Source organism: Homo sapiens, chromosome 18 (genome assembly GCF_000001405.40).
Source record: "Homo sapiens chromosome 18, GRCh38.p14 Primary Assembly".
In the NCBI taxonomy this organism is placed as follows: domain Eukaryota; kingdom Metazoa; phylum Chordata; class Mammalia; order Primates; family Hominidae; genus Homo; species Homo sapiens.
The window spans coordinates 60,290,422-60,313,042 of record NC_000018.10 but is presented as its reverse complement, the minus strand read 5'-3'; the positions used below and the strand labels follow the sequence as shown (position 1 = coordinate 60,313,042).

The 22,621-nt window shown below is 36.6% G+C and overlaps 1 long non-coding RNA gene across 2 annotated transcripts; it reads right to left on the bottom strand.

Annotated features, from left to right (window-relative positions):
• Nucleotides 1-11,725: 11,725 nt before the first annotated feature.
• LOC105372155 (uncharacterized) lies at nucleotides 11,726-18,907 on the bottom strand. Of its 2 annotated transcripts, none has more exons than NR_188056.1 (3): nucleotides 18,370-18,907; nucleotides 12,289-12,380; nucleotides 11,726-12,090 (listed from the first exon to the last, which is right to left on the bottom strand). It is a non-coding gene; the product is annotated as an uncharacterized LOC105372155 (long non-coding RNA). The 2 variants fall into 2 exon arrangements; NR_188057.1 differs by having other exon boundaries at nucleotides 18,732-18,907.
• Between the last annotated feature and the right edge of the window lie 3,714 nt (nucleotides 18,908-22,621).

The following is a 22,621-nucleotide window of genomic DNA, read 5'->3' as shown; positions in this document are numbered from 1 at the left end:
CCTCATTGCCTTCACATTGAGTAGGATGAGTGGGAGGGGAAAGAGGGGGACTTGGTCTTGCTATCTCTGCAGTAGAAGAGGTAGAGGAGGTGAAAAGGAGGCAGGAGAAGCAGGAACACTTGGTGTAACTCTTTTCTTTTTTTTAAATGTGTGTGTAAGTGAACCTGAGCAGTTCAAACCCACATTATTCAAGGGCCAATTTGTATGTTTTTTAATCAAACTAAAAGATAATGTTTTTTCATAAGGTAGAAACTAGACATTATTTCAAGTAATACTAATTACTTCATGTCTTCATAGCCAAACAAATTACTTTCTAGGTGTAAAAAAAATAGTGCTGTGATCCCCAATCTATTTTCAAGATAAGAAAACCTATTTTGACATAGGTTTTGGAAAAGGTTTGAAATGGAAGACAAGTACAAAGACTACAGAACGAGATAACACTAGAGGTAGGGCTAAATTGGCCAGGAGAGTACAAGAGTCATCTTCAGGAACCTTTGAGGAAATAGGAATATATGGAATTAAAATGCTGTTTGAAATATTATTTATAATAATTTTTTCACTTTTTTCTTCTTTCTCTTCTTTCACTTCTCTTTCTCTTTTCTACCTTCACATAAACATAAAAGTAATATGTAAAATGTCAATATGCATGTCAACTTTCACATATAAATCTTTTCACTATTTTAATTGCTAAGGTATAATATTTCACCTATATTTTGCATTAAATTAGGCTTGTTGCCTTGCAAACTAAACTTTTTTAAAAAATGCATTTCACATGCCAAATAGTCCCCTAATGAGCTCTTAGATAGCATTCAATTTATAAAATTGTTTTCTAAAGAAAGATAATCCTGCTCACTGTTAACTTGCCAAAAGTTCCCTTGTTGAGCAACAAAAAGACTCAGAGCATTTTCACCAACTACTTCCTCTAAGCAAATATCTTTCATGCTATTCCAATGTTAGCTTAATAGAAGCTGTGTTGTTAATATAAACTATCATGACTGATATATACTTTAAATAAGTGAACCATCAAAATATTGCTGATAACTTGTACTAGGTCTTGTGTTAATTTTATAAGTAAGTATGATGTGTTTTATAGAGTTTTAATTCAATCTACTTTTAAGTATTTCACTGTGTGAGATTTCTGAAGATTACTTATATAAGGGCAGATAATGAACTATGGAGTAAACAGTTGAAAACATCACATAAATTCTTTTGTAGTCATGGTGATGAAGTCACCTTTGACCTGATTTTCAACACTAATGTCAGAAAAATAAAGAAAAGAAATAGTGTTTCATTGAACAATAGTAGCCTTTAAAAAAGTGTTTTCGAATGTCTTCTGGTTTATACCTCAAGTGAAACTGAAAAGATTTTGAGAGTCCCCCAAAAAATTCTTACAGTGGTGAAATATATACTTGTCAGTCTCCTTATACACAATAACTTCTTAGCTAAAATAGTAATTTTTCATCAGGATTTATAGTGGAGAACATTCTTAAACAAGAGATTTCCCTTGTTTTTGCCAAGAACATGTGCCAGTTCATCCAAATTATTAATAAACTTAATACAATTCACCTGAAAATGGTTCTGCATGGGCTCTATTTTTCTATTCTAAAATATTTTAAAGGGCCCCTTCTGGCAGTAATTTAATAATTTTTTTCTGGGAAAGCCAGAAAATTTGAACCATACCAAAATTTGTACTCAGTTCTCTGAAGGCAGGTGTGGCACATCATTATATCATCTCTTAAAGAGGTAGCTGAGCTCATTTTTAGACTCAAAAATAGAGAATTTTTTTCCTAAAGAACATGTTACATTTGCTTTTTTAAATGTACAGGTATATTTAAAGGCAAAGTTTCAAGGTTCTCAGGTGGTGATAGTTTTGACAGTGTACTACAGTAGATCTGACATTGGTTTACATTACAAGTGTGTCTACTAGAAAAATAAATAGCCCTTGGCATAAATTATCAATGTATTTATCCAAGGTAATCAATGAATAAGTTTTCAAGTAAAATGGAGCTAAACTGAGTGAAGTTTCAATGACCTCTAAAAGTATTCTCCAAAGAAGGAAAATAGGAGAAAAAATATGTGTCAATAAGTGTTATTCAACATTTAGAGTCAAAGGACACTTTTGAGATTACTTTGTTGAAAACATTGGAGCTCTCCATTCCAGAGTAATCATGCAGAAAAATGCACACAATACTTTCAATTGGATATGTATTTCAAAGAGGAAAGCAAAACAATATCACCAAACTAATGCTTCCCTCAACCTTTTGTTTTCATTTTTTAAAAGCCACTTCCTTAAGAAAAGGAAAGAATAAAATCCAATAATAAAACTTTAATTATTCTCAAAGGTCAGACTCTAAATGAAGATTGCTATGCTTTGGCTTGAATAAAAAGCTTAAAATTGTCAAGTTAACTTTAACATGGCCACATATGTGACCTGTTTCCCACAAACGATTGATTCCAACTTGTTTTGTTGACATGACACATAAAAAAAATCCAATATGATTTAGGAGCACTTGAGCTGAAAACATATCACATCAATTCTTTGTAGTCATGGCAATGAAGTCATCTTTGACCTGATCTTCATCACTAATGTCAGAAAAATAAAGAAAAGAAATAGCATTTGATTGAACAATAGTAGCCTTTAAAAGATGTGTTTTTAAATGTCTTCAGGTTTATACCTGAAGTGAAACTGAAAAGGCTTTGATGGTCTCCCCAAAAAATTCTTACATTGGTGAAACATACTTGTCAATCTCCTTATAAGCAATGACACCTTAGCTAAAATAACTAGTAATTTTTCATCAGGATTTATAACGGAGAACATTCTTAAACAAGAGACTTTCTTTTTTTGCCAAGAACATGTGCCAGTTCATCCAAATTATGAATAAACTTAATGCAATCCACCTGAAAATGGTTCTGCATGGGCTCTATTTTTCTCTTTTAGAAGTATTTTTAAAGGGCCCCTTCTGGCAGTAATTTAATAGAAATTTTTTTTCTGGGAAGCCAAAAAATTTATACCGCAAAAATGAACACGTTTTCTATTTCGTTCCCATTTCTTCATAAAATTCTCAAATGTAAGCAACTCAAATCCTGTTTCTGACAAAGCACACCTTTCTTGACATTTAAGGACTAAGAGCAGTCAGTGTAACAGCAATTCATGCCAGAGCAGGAGAAAAAAAGTCATGAGACTGGGGAGCCTTTTCCTTTATAAAGTAGGAAGCCCAAATGTGTTCTCAATCAATTAGGTTACCTCTATTAGAGCATGACATTTTCTTTCAGAGGAAACTTTGCTTGAAAAAGAAATATTTTCACCATTACATAGTTGCCTATGTGCTTGTATTAGTTATCAATTGCTGTGGAACAAATTCCTCAAAATTAGCAACTTAAAACCACAAATATTTATTATCTCAGTTTCTGTTGATCAGAAACTTGGGAGCAATTTGGCTGGGTGGTTCTGGCTCAGAGTCTAATGAAGCTGCAGTTGACATGTGGCCAAAGCTTCAGAAATCTGAAGACTGGCTAGATCTGGGGGATCCACTTTCGAGAGAATTCAGTCACTGCTCAAAGTAAGCCTCAATTTCTTGTTGGATGTTGTCAAGAGGCCTTGCTTTCTCATCATATGAGACTCTCCATAAAACTGCACATGACATAACAACTGGCTTCTCCAAAAGCAAGTGACAGGGAACAGAAAGATCAAGAAGAAGCCCCAGTGCCTTTTATGACCCAGTCTCAGAATTTGCACACTACCACTTCTACTTATCAGAAGCAATTCCAGTGACACTCAAGAGGAGAGAAATTAAGTTCCACTTCTCAAAATGAAGAGTTGATGACTTTACGGACACATTTTAAAACATCACAGGCTTGGAGTTTCCTAAAGGACCACTAGATTATGAAATTTTTGAGAGTGACATTGTATAAGCAACTCATAAAAGCCAGAAGTCAACTGGTTTAACTCAATGAAAGATAATTATTGTGTCACTTGCTGAAGAGAAATTAAGTAGCTTAATTCTTCCAAGGCTGTCTTAAAATTATTATAAGCAATATCTAAAAGAAATTCTACAGTGAGTAGAATCATTTGATATAGACATTGCTCTAGTTTTCTTCTTCTGTTCCATGGTCCAACTTTTTTTTTTATTATGCTTTAAGTTCTAGGGTACATATGCTCAACCAGAAGGTTTGTTACATAGGTATACATGTGCCATGGTGGTTTGCTGCACCCATCAACTCATCATTTACATTAGGTATTTCTCCTAATGCTATCCCTCCCCCAGACCCCCAGACCACCACCCCACAACAGGCCCCGGTGTGTGATGTTCCCCGCCCTGTGTCCATGTGTTCTCGTTGTTCAAATCCCACCTATGAGTGAGAACATGCAGTGTTTGGTTTTCTGTTCTTCTGATAGTTTGCTTAGAATGATGGTTGCCAGCTTCATCCATGTCCCTGCAAAGGACATGAACTCATCCAATATTTTTATGTGAAGTTGCAGCTATCACAGAATTTCCTTTCACTGTTATATAGTGCAAGATTTCCAACCCAGTATCAACCATGCAAATTGTTACAAAAAAAGTTTGCATTAAAGAGTGTCTGGACTGCCTGCTTAAGAAACACTCAAACTCGAGATATGGAAGTATGGCCTAGTGTTGGGTCTTCTCAATTTTTCAGAACCAAGTAAATGGCCAAAAATATCTGAGATGAAAGCAGAAATGGCTTGTTTTAAGAGGTATGAATCAGAGCCCTGGCCTCTATGATCAGTTGAAGAACTGAAGAAAATCGACATCACAGGACATCTAAGAAACCCAGAAGGGAGTCCCAGACATCCCCCAGCCTCCATAACTTCTGCGGACTACTTCATTAAGCCTTATGTCTAAATTCTAAATAATTCTTCTATCTCTTTTATAAAAATTTTACTATCAATTATATCCCACAGTGAGCCCTGTTGTTACCTATATCTTTGCCTACTTTAGTTCATAGTGCTGTATTCTGTCTTAACTAAGCATGCAATAACCTGTACTGAATTTCTAATGCTAGTATTGAATTATCCACTGTAATGGAAGCAAAAATTGATATAGATAATTGAGAAGGAGAGGAAATTGTTTCTGTTTCACTTTGATAGACAATTTTTGCAGAAAATTTACCTTCCCAACTCTGTTTTCAGGTTTAGAATTGGTTTGCATGCCCTGAAACACAAATTTTGATATAAAGAAAAGCACTAAGAAAAATCTGTCTTGGAAAATATTTAAATCTTGCTGATTTAACACTTGTCATTAATATTTCATGCATGACAACTACACAAATTCAACTCTATTATTAATAGTTTTGTTGTTTAGTAAAAGAAACAAATTTGTTTCATTTCAGAATATCAGCTTAGTAACTGGCCTTTCATTCACTCATCTACTCATATAGGTTACACGAAATACAAAAAGGTACAGACTTAGATGAATGCATGGAAAAACCATCAAAATATTTTTAATCCCTAATTTAACATTGAATATGTTTTCTTCTAAATTAAGTCCCCTCCTAGGCACAGTAAAACTCATTTCACTTCCTTGAGGAAGAGTGGTACTGTGATTGGTAACTTGGATAAAACCCAAGAAGGAATGTGTGGCTTGCTTCTGAGTGTGAGGCTGAACCCTGATGTAATGACAGGTTAATGGGTAGAAATAAAAAGTGAAGTGATTCAGGTGGTATTGGCACCAAAAAGGTTTTCCTATCCGATGAAACTAGTAATTACAAGAGGCATTGCCTGAAGTATTTTATGTCTGGGATAAATTCTTCTTACTACAATCAGTACTGTGCAGTTTTATAAAAATTTTCTATTTCTAGATATCTGAACCCTTTCCCAGGAATGCATGAAAATGTTGCCATAAATTTGTTGGTTTTTTATTGGGGAATAATTAGAATGTTTGGATGACTCTAAACCAAGACAAATAACTGAGCTAGAATGTAAAGACATTTTTAGCAATCATTAGGAAGAAAAATGTTGAGAAAATAGATCCCCAAATCCATGTATTCAACCTATTATTTATTGAGTACACACTGTGTGTCAAGCCTGTGCTGTATACTGAGCACACAATATGGAATAAGACAAAAATTATTAAGTTGCTTATGAAACTTATAGAATGCAAATAAGTCCAACAATCAAAAAGCAAATAAGATAAGGCACAATGGTACAATGTTCCAGGGCAAAAGAGTGTGTAGTAAGCATGGAAGTACACGGCCTAGATACCCTTTCAGTGAGAGTGTGCTCACTAGCTGTGGGGACTGCGGTCAGAAGATAGCTGTCCACACTTTAGCAGCTGAGGGCTGCTTCAATCAAGGTCATGCCCATCCTGTGGCAGCCTACATCCATTGAGGGGATAAGGTTGGATGATTTTAGCCCAAAGTGGACAGCTCTGATGAGCAATAGTCATTTCACAGCACCCTGCTAGGTTGGCTGCAGCTTTCTCATCCCCCACATGGTAGTTTGATTCCTTCCTTTACGCAACCCTGGTTCCTTTCCTTTCACTGGGATAGATCCATGATAAATAATTTGGAAGCCGATCTCCATCCCAATATCTGATTCCAGAGAAGCTAACCTACAACCAAGTGAAGACGAGAAACATTCAACACAGTAGCAGGGGAGCAATCAGGCAAAGTTTACCAAAACAAGTAGCATTTTTTTTTTGGAATATAAAAGAATAAGAATTTTAATTATATCTGAAAGTAATTACAATGAAATGTAAATAAAATTTTAATTTTTCATTTGGAATAATTCTGGTTAATTTGTAGTATCTGTGCACTAAAATAGATATTCCATTTACATAGAGCAGTGCTTAACCAGTCTAATTATTTGAGAGTTATCAGCACTTGAAGCCATTCCTAAACTAGCAATATAAATTTAATACATTACACAAAACATTTCAAGAGGAAATTTGCTATTTCTTGAACATTGCTTAGAATACTAACCGAATGATCTTAATTTTAAACATGCTGTCAATCATTTTTTTAATCTATTTTTATTTATTATACTTTAAGTTTTAGGATACATGTGCACAACGTGCAGGTTAGTTACTTATGTATACATGTGCCATGTTGGTGTGCTGCACCCATTAACTCGTCATTTAACATTAGGTATATCTCCTAATGCTATCCCTCCCCCCTCCCCCCACCCCACAACAGGCCCCAGTGTGTGATGTTCCCCTTCCTGTGTCCATGTGTTCTCATTGTTCAATTCCCACCTGTGAGTAAGAACATGCGGTGTTTGGTTTTTTGTCCTTGTGATAGTTTGCTGAGAATGATGGTTTCCAGCTTCATCCATGTCCCTACAAAGGACATGAACTCATCATTTTTTATGGCTGCATAGTATTCCATGGTGTATATGTGCCACATTTTCTTAATCCAGTCTATCATTATTGGACATTTGGGTTGGTTCCAAGTCTATTGTGAACAGTGCTGCAATAAACATACATGTGCATGTGTCTTTATAGCAGCATGATTTATAATCCTTTGGGTATCTACGCAGTAATGGGATGGCTGGGTCAAATGGTATTTCTAGTTCTAGATCCCTGAGGAATCGCCACACTGACTTCCACAATGATTGAACTAGTTTACAGTCCCACCAGCAGTGTAAAAGTGTTCCTATTTCTCCACATCCTCTCCAGCACCTGTTGTTTCCTGACTTTTTAATGATTGCCATTCTAACTGGTGTGAGATGGTATCTCATTGTGGTTTTGATTTGCATTTCTCTGATGGCCAGTGATGATAAGCATTTTTTCATGTGTCTGTTGGCTGGATACATGCCTTCTTTTGAGAAGTGTCTGTTCACATCCTTCACCCACTTTTTGATGGGTTTTTTTTTTCTTGTAAATTTGTTTGAGTTCATTGTAGATTCTGGATATCAGCCCTTTGTCAGATGAGTAGATGGCAAAATTTTTCTCCCATTCTTTGGTTGCCTATTCACTCTGATGGTAGTTTCTTTTGCTGTGCAGAAGCTCTTTAGTTTAATTAGATCCCATTTGTCAATTTTGGCTTTTGTTGCCATTGCTTTTGGTGTTTTAGACATGAAGTCCTTGCCCATGCCTATGTCCTTAATGGTATTGCCTAGGTTTTCTTCTAGGGTTTTTATGGTTTTAGGTCTAAGATTTAAGTCTTTAATCCACCTTGAATTAATTTTTGTATAAGGTGTAAGGAAGGGATCCAGTTTCAGCTTTCTACATATGGCTAGCCAGTTTTCCCAGCACCATTTATTAAATAGTGAATCCTTTCCCCATTGCTTGTTTTTCTCAGGTTTGTCAAAGATCAGATGGTTGTAGATATGCAGCATTATTTCTGAGGGCTCTGTTCTGTTCCATTGGTCTATATCTCTGTTTTGGTACCAGTACCATGCTGTTTTGGTTACTGTAGCCTTGTAGTATAGTTTGGAGTCAGGTAGCGTGATGCCTCCAGCTTTGTTCTTTTGGCTTAGGATTGACTTGGTGATGCGGGCTCTTTTTTGGTTCCATATGAACTTTAAAGTAGTTTTTTTCCAATTCTGTGAAGAAAGTCATTGGTAGCTTGATGGGGATGGCATTGAATCTATAAATTACCTTGGGCAGTATGGCCATTTTCACAATATTGATTCTTCCTACCCATGAACATGGAATCTTCTTCCATTTCTTTGTATCCTCTTTCATTTCATTGAGCAGTGGTTTATAGTTCTCCTTAAAGAAGTCCTTCACATCCCTTGTAATTTGGATTCCTACATATTTTACTCTCTTTGAAGCAGTTGTGAATGGGAGTTCATTCATGAATTGGCTGTTTGTCTGTTATTGGTGTATAAGAATGCTTGTGATTTTTACACATTGATTTTGTATCCTGAGACTTTGCTGAAGTTGCTTATCAGCTTAAGGAGATTTTGGGATGAGACAATGGGGTTTTCTAGATACATAAGCATGTCATCTGCAAACAGGGACAATTTGACTTCCTCTTTTCCTAATTGAATACCCTTTATTTCCTTCTTCTGCCCGATTGCCCTGGCCAGAACTTCCAACACTATGTTGAATAGGAGTGGTGAGAGAGGGCATCCCTGTCTTGTGCCAGTTTTCAAAGGGAATGCTTCCGGTTTTTGCCCATTCAGTATGATATTGGCTGTGGGTTTGTCATAGATAGCTCTTATTATTTTGAGATACGTCACATCAATACCTAATTTATTGAGAGTTTTTAGCATGAAGGGTTGCTGAATTTTGTCGAAGGGCTTGTCTACATCTATTGAGATAATCATGTGGTTTTTGTCGTTGGTTCTGTTGATATGCTGGATTACATTTATTGACTTGCATATGTTGAACCAGCCTTGCATCCCAGGGATGAAGCCCACTTGATCATGGTGGATAAGCTTTTTCATGTGCTGCTGGATTCGGTTTGCCTGTATTTTACTGAGGATTTTTGCATCGATGTTCATCAGGGATATTGATCTAAAATTCTCTTTTTTTGTTGTGTCTCTGCCAAGCTTTGGTATCAGGATGATGCCTCATAAAATGAGTTAGGGAGGATTCCCTCTTTTTTCTATTGATTGAAATAGTTTCAGGAGGAATGGTACCAGCTCCTCCTTTTACCTCTGGTAGAATTTGGCTGTGAATCCATCTGGCCCTGGACTTTTTTTGGTTGGTAAGCTATTAATTATTGCCTCAATTTCAGAGCCTATTATTGGCCTATTCAGAGATTCAGCTAAGATCTAAATATAGATGGAAGTTAACCAAATCATTTTGCAAGGTAAAGTAGGACAGAGGAAAAGAAGGCAATGAGTGTTTGTTTCAGAAGCAAAGATTCAAAATTCTAGTAAAACGAAAAGTACAGAAATTTTTTAAAAAATGTTTTGCACAGGGGAAAAAACAAGACATAAGAGTTAGGAGTCAAACCTAAAAGCACCTCACAAGCCTTTCTGAGATCATAATTTATGATGAGAAACCACAGGAGGATTTAAGCAGGGGAGTGATCATTCAGCTTACAGTAGAGAGACCCATTTGGAGGGACAATGTTAGAAGCAGGGCTCCCACATATACAATTAATGCCATCTGGATAAAAGATTATAATGAAATAAACTAGATTCAGGTCAGATGGATAGAAATGAATGAACACAAGCAATATTGGGGTGATAGAATAGGACCCTCTGATTTATTAGATATGAGATAGCAAGAGGGAAGGAGAAATTAAAAATGCTAATTTGTTTTCCCTTTGAAAGAACTGGATAGATGTTGGCACCATTCACTGAGATAAGATACATGAGAAAAGGAGACAGTTTAGTGGGAATGATTTCAGCTTTGAACATGAGATTGATATAGAAATCTGTTGTTCAAAAGGGAACCATCAACACTATCAGCATTATATTAGCATACCATTATTCAATCATTATCATATCAGCATATCATCAAATAAGTGCTCACTACAACCTTGGGGTTGAAGAACCTCCAGGGAGGAATATTCCAGTGAGAAAAGAGGAAGGGCTGGGACAAAATGATAAGTAATATCAACAATGAAGAAATACAGCCTGCTTAGGAGAGAGGCCAAGTAAGAAAAGTAATGACGTGATCTGCAGAATTTAGTAGCACCATATTAACACGGAATGGGTAAGGGCAGAAGCCAGATTACGAGGAGCTCAGGAGTGAGGCCTTGGAGGCACCCAGTGTAGAAACTTCTCAGAAAGCACAATGCAAAAAAAGAAAGCAAAGGGGAGAAGACAACAGAGAATCAGAGGGAACTGTGAGAACTACTGATGTTGTTGATGATAATGATACCTTATTGTTGCTGGGTTTGGTGCTGTTGCTAATTTTATTTTAATGGGAGGCATAAGTTTAAGTTTAACCACTTGCAAGAAGAAATCAGTAATACAGGAGACTGGAAGTATAAGAAGGGGAGTAATCAAAATTTCCTGAGCAGGCAGGCAGAACATGGGATCCAGAGGGGAGGTAAAGGAATTATCCCTGAAGTAGAGAAAAACATGTCTTGTGAATCGTAATGTGAGAGAAAAAGAAAAGAATGAATGGTGAGAGTTAAGTTCTTATATCTAGGTGGAAAATTACAGAACTTACTTTTTTTGGACTCTATAATCTGCATAAAATAAGAAAGTACATCAGCTGCTGAGAGTGAGCCTGACTAATAGGCAAGGAAATCTGACAATAGAGAAGATTGTGTTGAAAGGAGTTTTGGAGATTACTGAGAAGAGCTGATAAAAGGAATATAGTAGGGTTGCTGTGCAATCGATAACAAACTTTCTGCCTCCACTATTCGCTTTCTTCTGCTCGATTATAATAAATAGCAGGGAGTTTTTATCTGCCACGGCAATAATCGTCAGCTTCTTCCTATGGGCATTTGTTCTCCTCTAACTCTGTGGTTGTTGTATAAATAAACATGGAACAATAACCCAGGGAAAATCTGCCTCACGCATTCCAAAAGAAAAGTTGAATTCAAGAAACTGGTTTAAAATGATGCTAAAGAACAGAACAGGAGTCATATAATCATAGATGTAGGATTGTAACCAGGCTGGTCACTCTACCCAATTATCCTTCTGTTGCTATCCCAGAGAGACAGTCATCAATATAAAGCCCCTCTTGAAATGAACCCAAGAGAGTGAATTTCTGAAGTATGAAAATATCCTATTAGGGGAGATTTCAAATGGAAGATATTCCATGGTAAGAAATCTCAGGAGAGCTCCTTTATGAAGTTTCAAGCTGTATTTAGGAAGACGTCACCAGTTCTAGCTAACACTATAATTTGAAACTTTTTTCTTTTTTATTTTTTAATTAAATTTAAGTTCGGGGTACATGTGCAGGATGTGCAGGTTTGTTACATAGGTAAACGTGTGCCATGGTAGTTGGCTGCACCTATCAACACATCCCCTAGGTATTAAGCCATGCATGCATTAGCTGTTTATCATGATGCTCTTCCTTCCCCTGCCCTCCCCTGAGAGTCCCCGGTGTGTGCTTTTTCCCTCCCTGTGTCCATGTGTTCTCGTTGTTCAGCTCCCACTTGTAAGTGAGAAGATGCGCTATTTGGTTTTCTGTTCCTGTGTTAGTTTGCTGAGGATAATGGCTTCCAGCTCCATCCGTGTGAAACCTCTTAATCACAGCTTTCATTGAATTGATGCTAGGTACAAGTAGAATTATTATATAAATAAATGAATTGTGAAATATTAGTACCTATGTTTTATGAATTACCATTACAGAGAAAATCAAAATTTGTAAAATAAACATGTAAGACGATTGTTATTCATACTCTAAAATGATTTTTACAGATTTCTTACAGGAAGTAAACATATGCTTTTAAGCAACAATGTGGACATACTTGGTCAAATAAAATCTCTTGAGGGAATTTTCATCCTCAATCATTCATCTTCTACCTTTCTCACTCCTGTTGCCATCTGGCTCTGGCTCTTTCTACATAAAAAGATTTCCATTATCACCCATATTAAAAGAAAATATAAAACAATTGTATTTCTATATAAATGGTTAGGGTTCTATATTGCCTTTTATTTATGTACAAGTTACTTTAAAATATTTATTTTGTCAGCCACCAATTTCCTATTGCCCACTGAATTTCCTCTCTATATATCATTATTGGCCTCCAAACTGTCAAATTTAATAGATAAATAATCCATCCTTCCCTGAATATGATAGTTTGTTGCCTATCCAACAGCCTTTCCCTCCCATCCCCAAGACTTTTTCAGGAATCAGGGGACCATATGCTTCACAACAGCCTCAGCCTGTCTAGGAAATTCAATTCCCCTTGGAAGTGAATACTTTAGGCTTGGGCCCACAATGCAACTCTTGCCAATGGGGGTGTATGTTCATTTTCTGTAGTTACTGTAACACAGGGGTCCCCAACCCCCAGGCCACAGATCCGTATTGAGCATTATCACCTGTACCATCACTGCCACAGGTACCAAGCATTACCACCTGAGCTCCCTCTCCTGTCAGATCAGCCGCGGCATTAGATTCTCATTGGAGCACAAACCCTATTGTGAACTGTGCATGAGAGGAATCTAGGTTACGCACTCCTTCTGAGAATCTAATGCGTGATGATATGTCACTGTGTCCTGGCACCCCCAGATGGGACTGTCTAGTTGCAAGAAAAATGAGCTCAGGGATCCCACTGATTCTACATTATGGTGAATTGTATAATCATTTCATTAGATATTACAATGTAATAATGATAGAAATAAAGTGCACCATAAATGTAATGCACTTGAATCATCCCAATACCATCCCCCTCTTCCCTCTGTCCTGGTCCATGGAAAAATTGTCTTCCATGAAACCCGTCCCTGGTGTCAAAAAGCTGGGGACTGATGCTGTAACACATTATCACAAACTGCCTTAAAACAACACAACATCATCTTACAGTTTGGGAGGTCAGAAGTCCAAAATGGGTCTCACTGGGCTAAAATGTAGATGCCAGCAAGGTTGCATTCCTGCTGGAGATTCTGGGAGAGAATCCATTTGCTTGCTATTTTTAACCTTCTAGAGGCTGCCTGCATTCTTTGTCTCATGCCTGCCCCATCCTTCTATCTTCACAACAAGCAATATAGGACCACATCATTTTCACATTGCAAAAACTCTGGTTCTCCCTTTTCTGCCTTCCTCTTAAGGTCATTTGTGATACACTTGGTCCACCTGGATAATCCAGGATAAACTCTGAATCTAAGGTCAGTTGATTAGCAATCTTAATCTTAGCCGCAACCTTAATTCAGCTTTGCACACAACATAATTCATTTACAGGTTCCAAGAATTAGGATGTGGATACGTCAGTGGGGGGCATTACTCTGCCTACCAGAAAGTGTAAGAGAAAGTCTGCTGGGCAGGGAAAGATAATACTCCTCCTTCTGTCTCTGGAAGTTTCAAGGTTTGTATGTGCTATGTGGAATTATGGCAAGCATTGTAGGATTACAAGATGAGCCAGCCTAAGTGGGAAGACTTTTATTGTAGGAACAATTATGATTTTATCATCACTTTGTACAGTCCCACTAAGTAAACCAAACCCAGAGCAATTTTCATTCTACTTGTCACATGAGATAAAATTCGATTTTTGTGTATTCATTTGAATTGTGTTTTCTCTTTCCCACAGCAAAAAATTCTGATACTTTACCTTCCTACACTTTTCTGAGCATTTGAATTTCACTTAACCATTTTGAAAAATTCATCATGCTTTTGCAGTATTACTGTAGCCTGCTTTTCTCCTACCTCTCAAGCCATTCCTGCCCAGATTCATTCAAAGGATTTTCTCTGCTTACACTCTCACTGATGGTTTTCACACCTGGCCCTGTCTTCACCTTTTCCCATCTCTCTATTCTTCCTGAGTAAATTCATTTTCTTCCAAGGCTTTAACTCTCCTTTACATGCTGATTCATATTTTTTACCTCTATTTAGAAACTCCTTTTATTGCTAAATCTATGCTTCTTCTATGGTTTGAATGTCTCCTTCACCATATTTTGAAACTTAATCCCCAATGTGGCATTATTGAGAGGTAAGGGCCTCTAAAATGTGGTTGGATCATGAGGGTTCTGCTCCCGTGAATACATTAACCCATTCATGAATTAATGTATTAATGAGCTAATGCATTAATGGATTATCAAAGAGGGGAACTGACAGGTTTATAAAAAGAGGGAGAGAGACCTGAGCTACCATGCTCAGGCCTCTCTCCATAGGATACCCTTTACTGACTCAGGACCCTGCAGAGTCCTCACCAGCAAAAAAGCTCTAATCAGATGCAGCTACTTGATCTGGGACTTCCCAGCTTTCGTAACTGTAAGAAATAACTTTTCTTTACTTATAAGTTACCCAGTTTCAGGTATTCTGTTGTAAGCAACAGAAAATGAACTAGGACCACCTGCTTCCAAGTAATTATTGCAGATTTCTTATTGAATATCCCCTGGCTCTCCCCTCCTCAACTTACTTTGTTCCTGAACTTTCTAATATATCTTCCACATCAGTGAAAGACTCCAAAACCTATTTTGGTCAGCCAAGTCAAACACATGAATAAGCTTCCATTTCTCCTTCTCACTCAGACACTTTCCCTATTGAATTAGCCACTAAATTTATGGCCTTGACCTTCTTAAAATCCCTTTATCTTCCCACCTCCTCATATCTATAGTTATGACTTTGCTTCCTCATTTCTCACCCTACAAAAGCCATCTCAGCTTCTTTCCCTATATTCAAACTCTGCAACTCTTTAACCACAATCCATTATCTCCATGCTCATCCAAGGAACCCCCTATAATTAAAATAAGATCATCTCTCTCCCCTGCTTAAATCTTTCTGTGGATTTTGATAACTTTTAGGCTAATAATAAACATTCAACAAATGATACAACTGTGATGTAGTACACATTTGTTATATTACCTTATCTCATGTATCTTTTCAACTATCCTGTGAGTTAAGCAATATTATTGTGTCTATTTAACAGATTAAAAACTGCAATTTAGAGAGTGGATACAGCTTCCAAACATCACACAGCTGGTGAGGTTTGAGTTGGGTTTTAAGCCCGATCATTCTCACTCTAAAATCCATGCCTTCAATCAGTCACATTTCTTAGGTGAGTTCAAACTGCCCAGCCAATGCCTAACTATCCAAAAGGATCCCTCGCCAATTGTCTCCAACTCCCAATTGCTCCATCTCTCCAGCCATATAAGCCACTCACGATTTCTCTAAAATGCCATGGGTCCTTGCTGCTCTCTACCACATACTGCTTCTATCTACCAAGAAGGTCCTTTGCACTTTTTGTTTTCATTTTCTAATTGGTAGAGCAAACTTGGCCATGCAAATTCTCCTCCTTGCAGTCTTCCACAATTTCCCAACAGCTGATTTACAAGTTTCTCTCTTCTGTGCTACTGTGGCATTTATATCCACTTAAAATAATAACAGCTACCATTTCTTACCTGCTTTTCCATGGAAGACACATGTCAAAGTGCTTTACATACATAAAGTTTTTAATTCCATAGAAAACTATTATGATAGCTTAGTTTACAAATGGAAAGTAATCAGAGAGTTTATGATGATACAGGCATTTTGTTCTATAGTCTCTGTTCTACTTTCTTTTTCCTTTAGGGTATCTTGAGAGCAGGGACCATGGTCTACATGATTTGAATAACTGAGACCTACATATAAGCAAGGTTGTTTCCTAAAGATAAGGTAATGGACCACCCATTAAACTAAGAGATCTGTGACAGTACAGACATATATAAATATAGTAAATGTCTTGATATTTTACTGTTTGGAAAACACAGAGCATATTAGTTTGATATAAGTTGTTGTTCATTTCTGTTTCCTCACCACTTTCCTGTGAGCTACTTAGTGGCATAAAAACCATTCCATATTCACCCTGGATTCCATGTACCTAGCACAGGCACTCAACAAATGAACTAGAAAGTTAAACTAATCACCAGATATTAATGTTAGCTTTGCCTCTCCATTTTATTATGTGCCACATACATATTCAAGACAGGAAGAAATCTGTATTAAATCTCTAATACTACATCCAGCTCAGTAGGAACTGGAATTATTACTTACGTTTATTGTACTTCATCGTCATCTACCACAATTCATCTGGTTTTTTAGAAGCTATACAGGTGAACTGAATGAGGGTATGACATAAACACTCTTTAATTGTCCCAAGGCAAATAAAACAATATTAGCAGCTTGGCCACAGTTTCAAAAATCAAGTTAAGAATTCCACTTTATATTTTTCTCATAATGCTATTTTTGTTTTGCAGCACTTAGCTAATCTTTTTCTTATACTGGCATGATATTATTATACTGTTTGTGAATCTATATCATACTTTGCCAATAAATTACAAATCTATTTTATTATGAACAATGCACATATGTAAATGCTTTGAAACTTATCTCTGAGATATTCTAAATGTATATTTAAAAAATCGATGGTCTCTTTAAGTAGAATCTCTAAAAGGCATCCAAGCTAGACATATTCTGAGTATTTCAAAGACAGAGAATGTTACTTAAGTGTTTAGGTATTGCGTACCAGGCAACTGTGAAGAATCCCTGAGGTGGCAGAATCGGGAAGCAGAATAGCACTGAAGAGAACAAAACACTCCACGGAGAGAGGCACAGGTTACTGATTTACAGTTAGCCACACTTTCAATTTACTCCAAATGAGACAACATGAGTAACAAAGACAGAGAAGGACTTTGTTCCAGGTGAGAATTAACACTGGTGAGAACATCTGATAGCTAATGTGATTAGAACAGAAGTCTCTCATTTAGAAAGCTTAGAAGCTTTGACACTGAGGAAGCTTCGTCAGTGCAGCCCTGAAGGGAAGAGGCTGCACAGGAGCCTATGTAATGAGTATTCAGGAAAGAATAATGGCTACAACCTCTAAGGTCTGCAAGCCAGCCTGAAAAATATCAGTCAATTACAGTTGACACAGCAACAGTGGAGGAAAGAAGCTAGATTGGCTCCTGATGGCTTTTTCTCTAGTCCTTACTTCTGGGGAAAGAGTCCTTTCTTTTCCTTCTTGTCTCTCCTCTTTTTTTCATGATTTATTCTTCTCTGCCTATCTCACATTTTGCCTTCTCTCCCTTTTTTATAACTCACCGTCTTTTCCCATTCTTCATCCTCTTATCTAAATTTCATAAGATACGACTTTAAAGACATAAAAAAGTTTATAAAATAGGTAAATTATAAATGAATTTCTAGTAAAATATTTATAAATTACCAAAATTGCATTCATTTAATAGTGTTTACTTTTAATCCAAAAAGGTGAAATTAGTATGTATTTTTTTGCCACTCTAGAAATGCCTAGAGCAATTTGAAAGTAAAAAGAAAAAATCATTGCCTACTTCAATTTAGACATGGAAGCTCAGTTTTCAACAGATTTGTCTTAGAAAATTGATTTTTCTTTTTGCAGACCTTCAAAGAAAATTGTCCTGAACTACCCAGTGTTTTAGCCTATGTTATACTACAAATATTATCATTAATCAACACTAATTTGTTTATTTCTTTGCTTTGTGTTTTCAACTGATAGGCCCTGTTTCTAGTTTGGATTTTCTTCTTCAATGCAGCAAGCTAAATCTTGAGTTGTTATCAGTAAATATTACTTAAAATATGCTAACTTGAGCTTTTAGAAAGGGAGGTAGTTCACAATTTATACATGGTTATTGATTAGATTTGAAGAACTACCCAAAAAATATATAAAATATATTTAATAGTTGGTTTACAATTTTGCATGCAATGGGTAAGGTTTAAAACCTAATTATCATTCTCTAATGGCTATTATGATAAAGACCAAAATAAAAGTGTTGATGAGGATGTGGAGAAAAGGGAACCCTTGTGTACTGTTGGTGGGAATGTAAATTAGTACAGCCATTAGGGAAAACAGTATGAATACTTTTCAAAAAACTAAAAATATAACTACCATAGGATCCAACAATTCTGCTATTACTGGATGCATAGCCAAAAAAAAAAAAAATGAAATTCGTATGTCAAAAAGATATCTGCACTCCCGCTGTTCATGGCAGTATTACTCAAGACACTCAAAATATGGCATCAACTAAGCGTCCATCAACCGACGAATGCATAAGAAAAATGTAACATATATATACACAATGACATACTATTTATGCTTTAAAAACCCAGGAAATTCTGTCATCTGTGACAACATGAATGCCCCTGGAGGACATTATGTTTAATAAAAGAAGCCAGACACAGAAGACAAAAATCACATCTTCTCGCTTATGCGTAGAATCTAAAAATGTTGGCGGGCACAGTGGCTCACACCTGTAATCCCAGTACTTTGGGAGGCCGAGGCGGGCAGATGACGAGGTCAGGAGATCGAGACCATCCTAGCTAACACAGTGAAACCCCGTCTCCACTAAAAATCCAAAAAAATTAGCCGGGCGTGGTGGCGGACGCCTGTAGCTCCAACTACTCGGAAGGTTGAGGCAGAATGGCGTGGACCCGGGAGGCGGAGCTTGCAGTGAGCCAAGATGGCGCCGCTGCACTACAGCCTGGGCGACGGAGCAAAACTCCGTCTCAAAAAAAAAAAAAAAAAAAAAAAACAACTAAAAAAATTGAGCTTATAAAAACAGAGTAGAAGGGCTGTTACCAGGGGCAGCAGGATTGGGAGATGATGGTCAAGTATACAAAATTTCAGTTAGACAGGAGGAATAAGTTCAAGAGATCTACTGCACAACGTGGTGACTATAGTTACTAACAATGTATTATATACTTGAAAGTTGCTGAAAGTATATTTTAAAATTCTCACCTCAAATGTGTGAGTTAAAATAGAACTATTGTTCTTTTCATATTTGTGTTTCATTAGTGAACTTGTCTATTTATAATATTTATTGAACAATTTAATAGAAATGTGCAGGAGTTACCTGGTTATTTAAAACAAATGAAAAATAAAGAATAGACAAACCACCACTGATTAGGAGATAAACAACAACCACAATTAGGTAAGGAGATAGTATGAGAAGAAAGAGAATGGTTATAATGTTATATGATATAATGATTTCTTTTAGCCAAAAATAGCCATCTACTAAACACCAGTATCTAAATATCAATTATTAAATACATTTCGTATTAAATATGTACTGTGAGGAAAAAAGCAGACCTTATTTGAAGCAATCTATACATCATAGTATCTAATATAATGAAGTTCTTGGATACATGTATTACAATACTGATTTTTTTCTTTGTTTTATTACATACTGGTAGAATTTCAATTATTCACAACACCTCCTGAAATTCTTATTAAATTAGCAACCCAGGCAGTTGATAATAAATGGCATCTAACCAGCAGCACCCTAGTGCAGCAGCCCCCCAAATTAAAAATCTAAGATTCATGAAAACTCAAAAAAAGACAAAACTCACAACCAGCAGCAACCAAGACAGACAGCAAACTTTGTACTATAAATGGGTTGAAAAAAGCATACCTAGGCTTCAAATTGTGAAAATAAGATCACATTTTTCAAAACAATGGAAAGACATGATTCTTCAACCAAAGCCTAGCCCCTGGCTAAAATTTTATGTTCCATACCAACTAGAAAATTGACAATCATTTCCTCTACTCACAGGCATTGATGAAATAATTACATTACTTATAAGGAAAAGGATGTAATTGACAGATAATATTGATTAAGTTATTACTGTTTCAGATACTGTTCTAAGTACTCTGTATGAATTAATTCATTTACTCCTCACAGTCGTAGCCATTTGTTGTAGGTTCTATTATACTACACAAAGTCAACAGAAGTTAGACAGTATATAACCACGTTTAAGAAGTAAAATCTCTATGTTAAAACAGCTCTCAGAAAACAGGATTGTGAGCAATAGAAAACAAACATTTTATTTTTATCAGTAAATTTAAAATGCTAGATAAAAATAAACAGTGAAAGAATCTTCAATGCTGAGAGCTGTGATTTTACCTGGACTTCAACTGTTTAAAGTATTTAAGAATCATATGGTGGTAGGAGGAAATCACTACGTTACTTATAAGGAAGAGGATGTAACTGACAGATAATACTGATTAAGTTATTACTGTTTCAGATACTGTTCTAAGTACTCTGTCTGAATTAATTCATTTACTCTTCACAGTAGCCGCCATTTGATGTAGGCGCTATTATAATACACAAACTCAATAAGAGACCTAGGATTCAAATCCCTGGGGCCCGATTCCAAAACCCTGCTTTTAACAATTACATTAGATATAAGAGTACTTTAGTGCAGCTGGTGCATTTGGCAGGAATTAGAAAGGGATTCATGCATATCAACCTGTGCTCCAGCGTTATATCTAAGATCCAGCCTCAACCATGATACAAATTAACAGAGAATCAGGAACAGTCACCCAGCTTTTCTTCTCAATTATGTAATCTAGAACAAAGGAAAAGAAACAGCTTCTGAGAGAATTCAAGAATAAGTGTATGTTAACAATGATCTACTAAAGAATATAGAAGAAAATATTCAGGACATCATTTGATATTCTCAATAGTGTTGGGGAAAAAAATGACCCAACAGAATTGAAGCAGAATGCCATAACTAGACACCAAGCTAAAGTGAAAAATCATAGGAAGAGATATAAAAACTTAACAGAGTAAATAAATACCACAATTAAAAGGAGACAATAAAGGCAATCATTCAGGTTTTGAAAATAAAATCAGTGATGTGGTAAACATCAGCTTAAGTTGTCAGAATTCAAATGAGGACATAAATGAAAATGCAGAGAAAAAGGGTGATCGATATGAAGGTCATAGGGTAGTATCTGATGCAGTTTAATGGGTGAGTAAATAAGTAGAATATATAAGCAAAGTACTAAAGATTGTGTTAGGAAAAAAATGACTTGAGGTAAAGAAGCAGCTATGGTTGCTGACTGAAAAAGGTTACCACCTTCTGAAAAAAATCAAAAGAATAGATTCACAGTTAAAAACATCCAAAAAATATATTTTGAGTTAATGAAGAAAAATTATCAAATTTTCTATTCCTAAATAACAAATAACTAAAAAATTATACACACACACACACGCACACGTCAAAAAGGGGAAAAATCAACAGTGTATTCATAGGGTTTAGTCAGGAATTTAGAGCCACTAGACATGTTATGTGAATACAGTGATTATGGGAGGAATACACATTACAAAAATATGGGGGAACCAGAAGATTTAAAAAAAAAAAAAAAAAAAAAGTAACTCACCAGCTGGCCAAATTGGCAACAGAAAAGTGAGAGCTTGCTGGGAAAACCAGGAAGCCACCAAGGTAGAATGACATGGAAAGGTCTATGAAATGGTCAGCTCCATGCCTTTGTACGACTACCACCTCTGAGGGTCAAGTCAGGTGCCGGCTGGAGAGACTGTACCACTGGTCTGCAAGGCCAGCATCTGGGTACACAGGCCGCACGTTAGCAGAGGGGAGGAATGGCTTCCGCTTCCCATATCCCTTCTACATCTCACCCAAATTCCTCTCTTGGCCAACTCTGAGCCAAAACACAGAAGGTAATTCTTAGCACTGTGGTTCCCAGACTTAGTCAAGTTGACAAACACAGCCATCATCAACAATGAGTATGCGATAACCAGTATGGTAGACTGTACAGCCTGGAAACCAGAGAATACAGAAGACTCTATGGCAGAACTGAGAGGCAGGTGGAGCTTTCAGCTCCTCACCCGGGCTCCAGACTTCGTATCTTCTTCTAAGGAGATGGCAATCCTGAAAACACCCAGTCCTACACCCAAAGCCGGAGGGAGGCAAATTGAGTACTTTGTTCATCTTTTATTCCTTCAGCCCAAGGAAGGATATAAACAATGATGTGGGAAGGAGGTGAGGTTGTTGGAAAGTGATCAGTGGAAAGGCTTTTTCTGAAGGAAGCAGCAGTTTCAGCAATATGTGCCATATAAGGGGCACGTCTATCATTGAAATGCAACACACTCATTCCTAAGAAGTACGAATTCTGGTACCCAAAATTTAAGAAAAATATCAGAAGAGACTATGGCTCCTAGATGGCCTAACATAGGTGGAAGTCTTTGCTTCTAAACTCTCTAACTCTCCACACCATTCCTTCAGGCCACGAAAATATATAATATTGCAGCCCTCAAGTAACAGCTCAGAGGAGAAAAAGAAATCACTTTAGATACAGTTGGAAAAGAACGATTAATTCACTTACTCTACTTCATGGC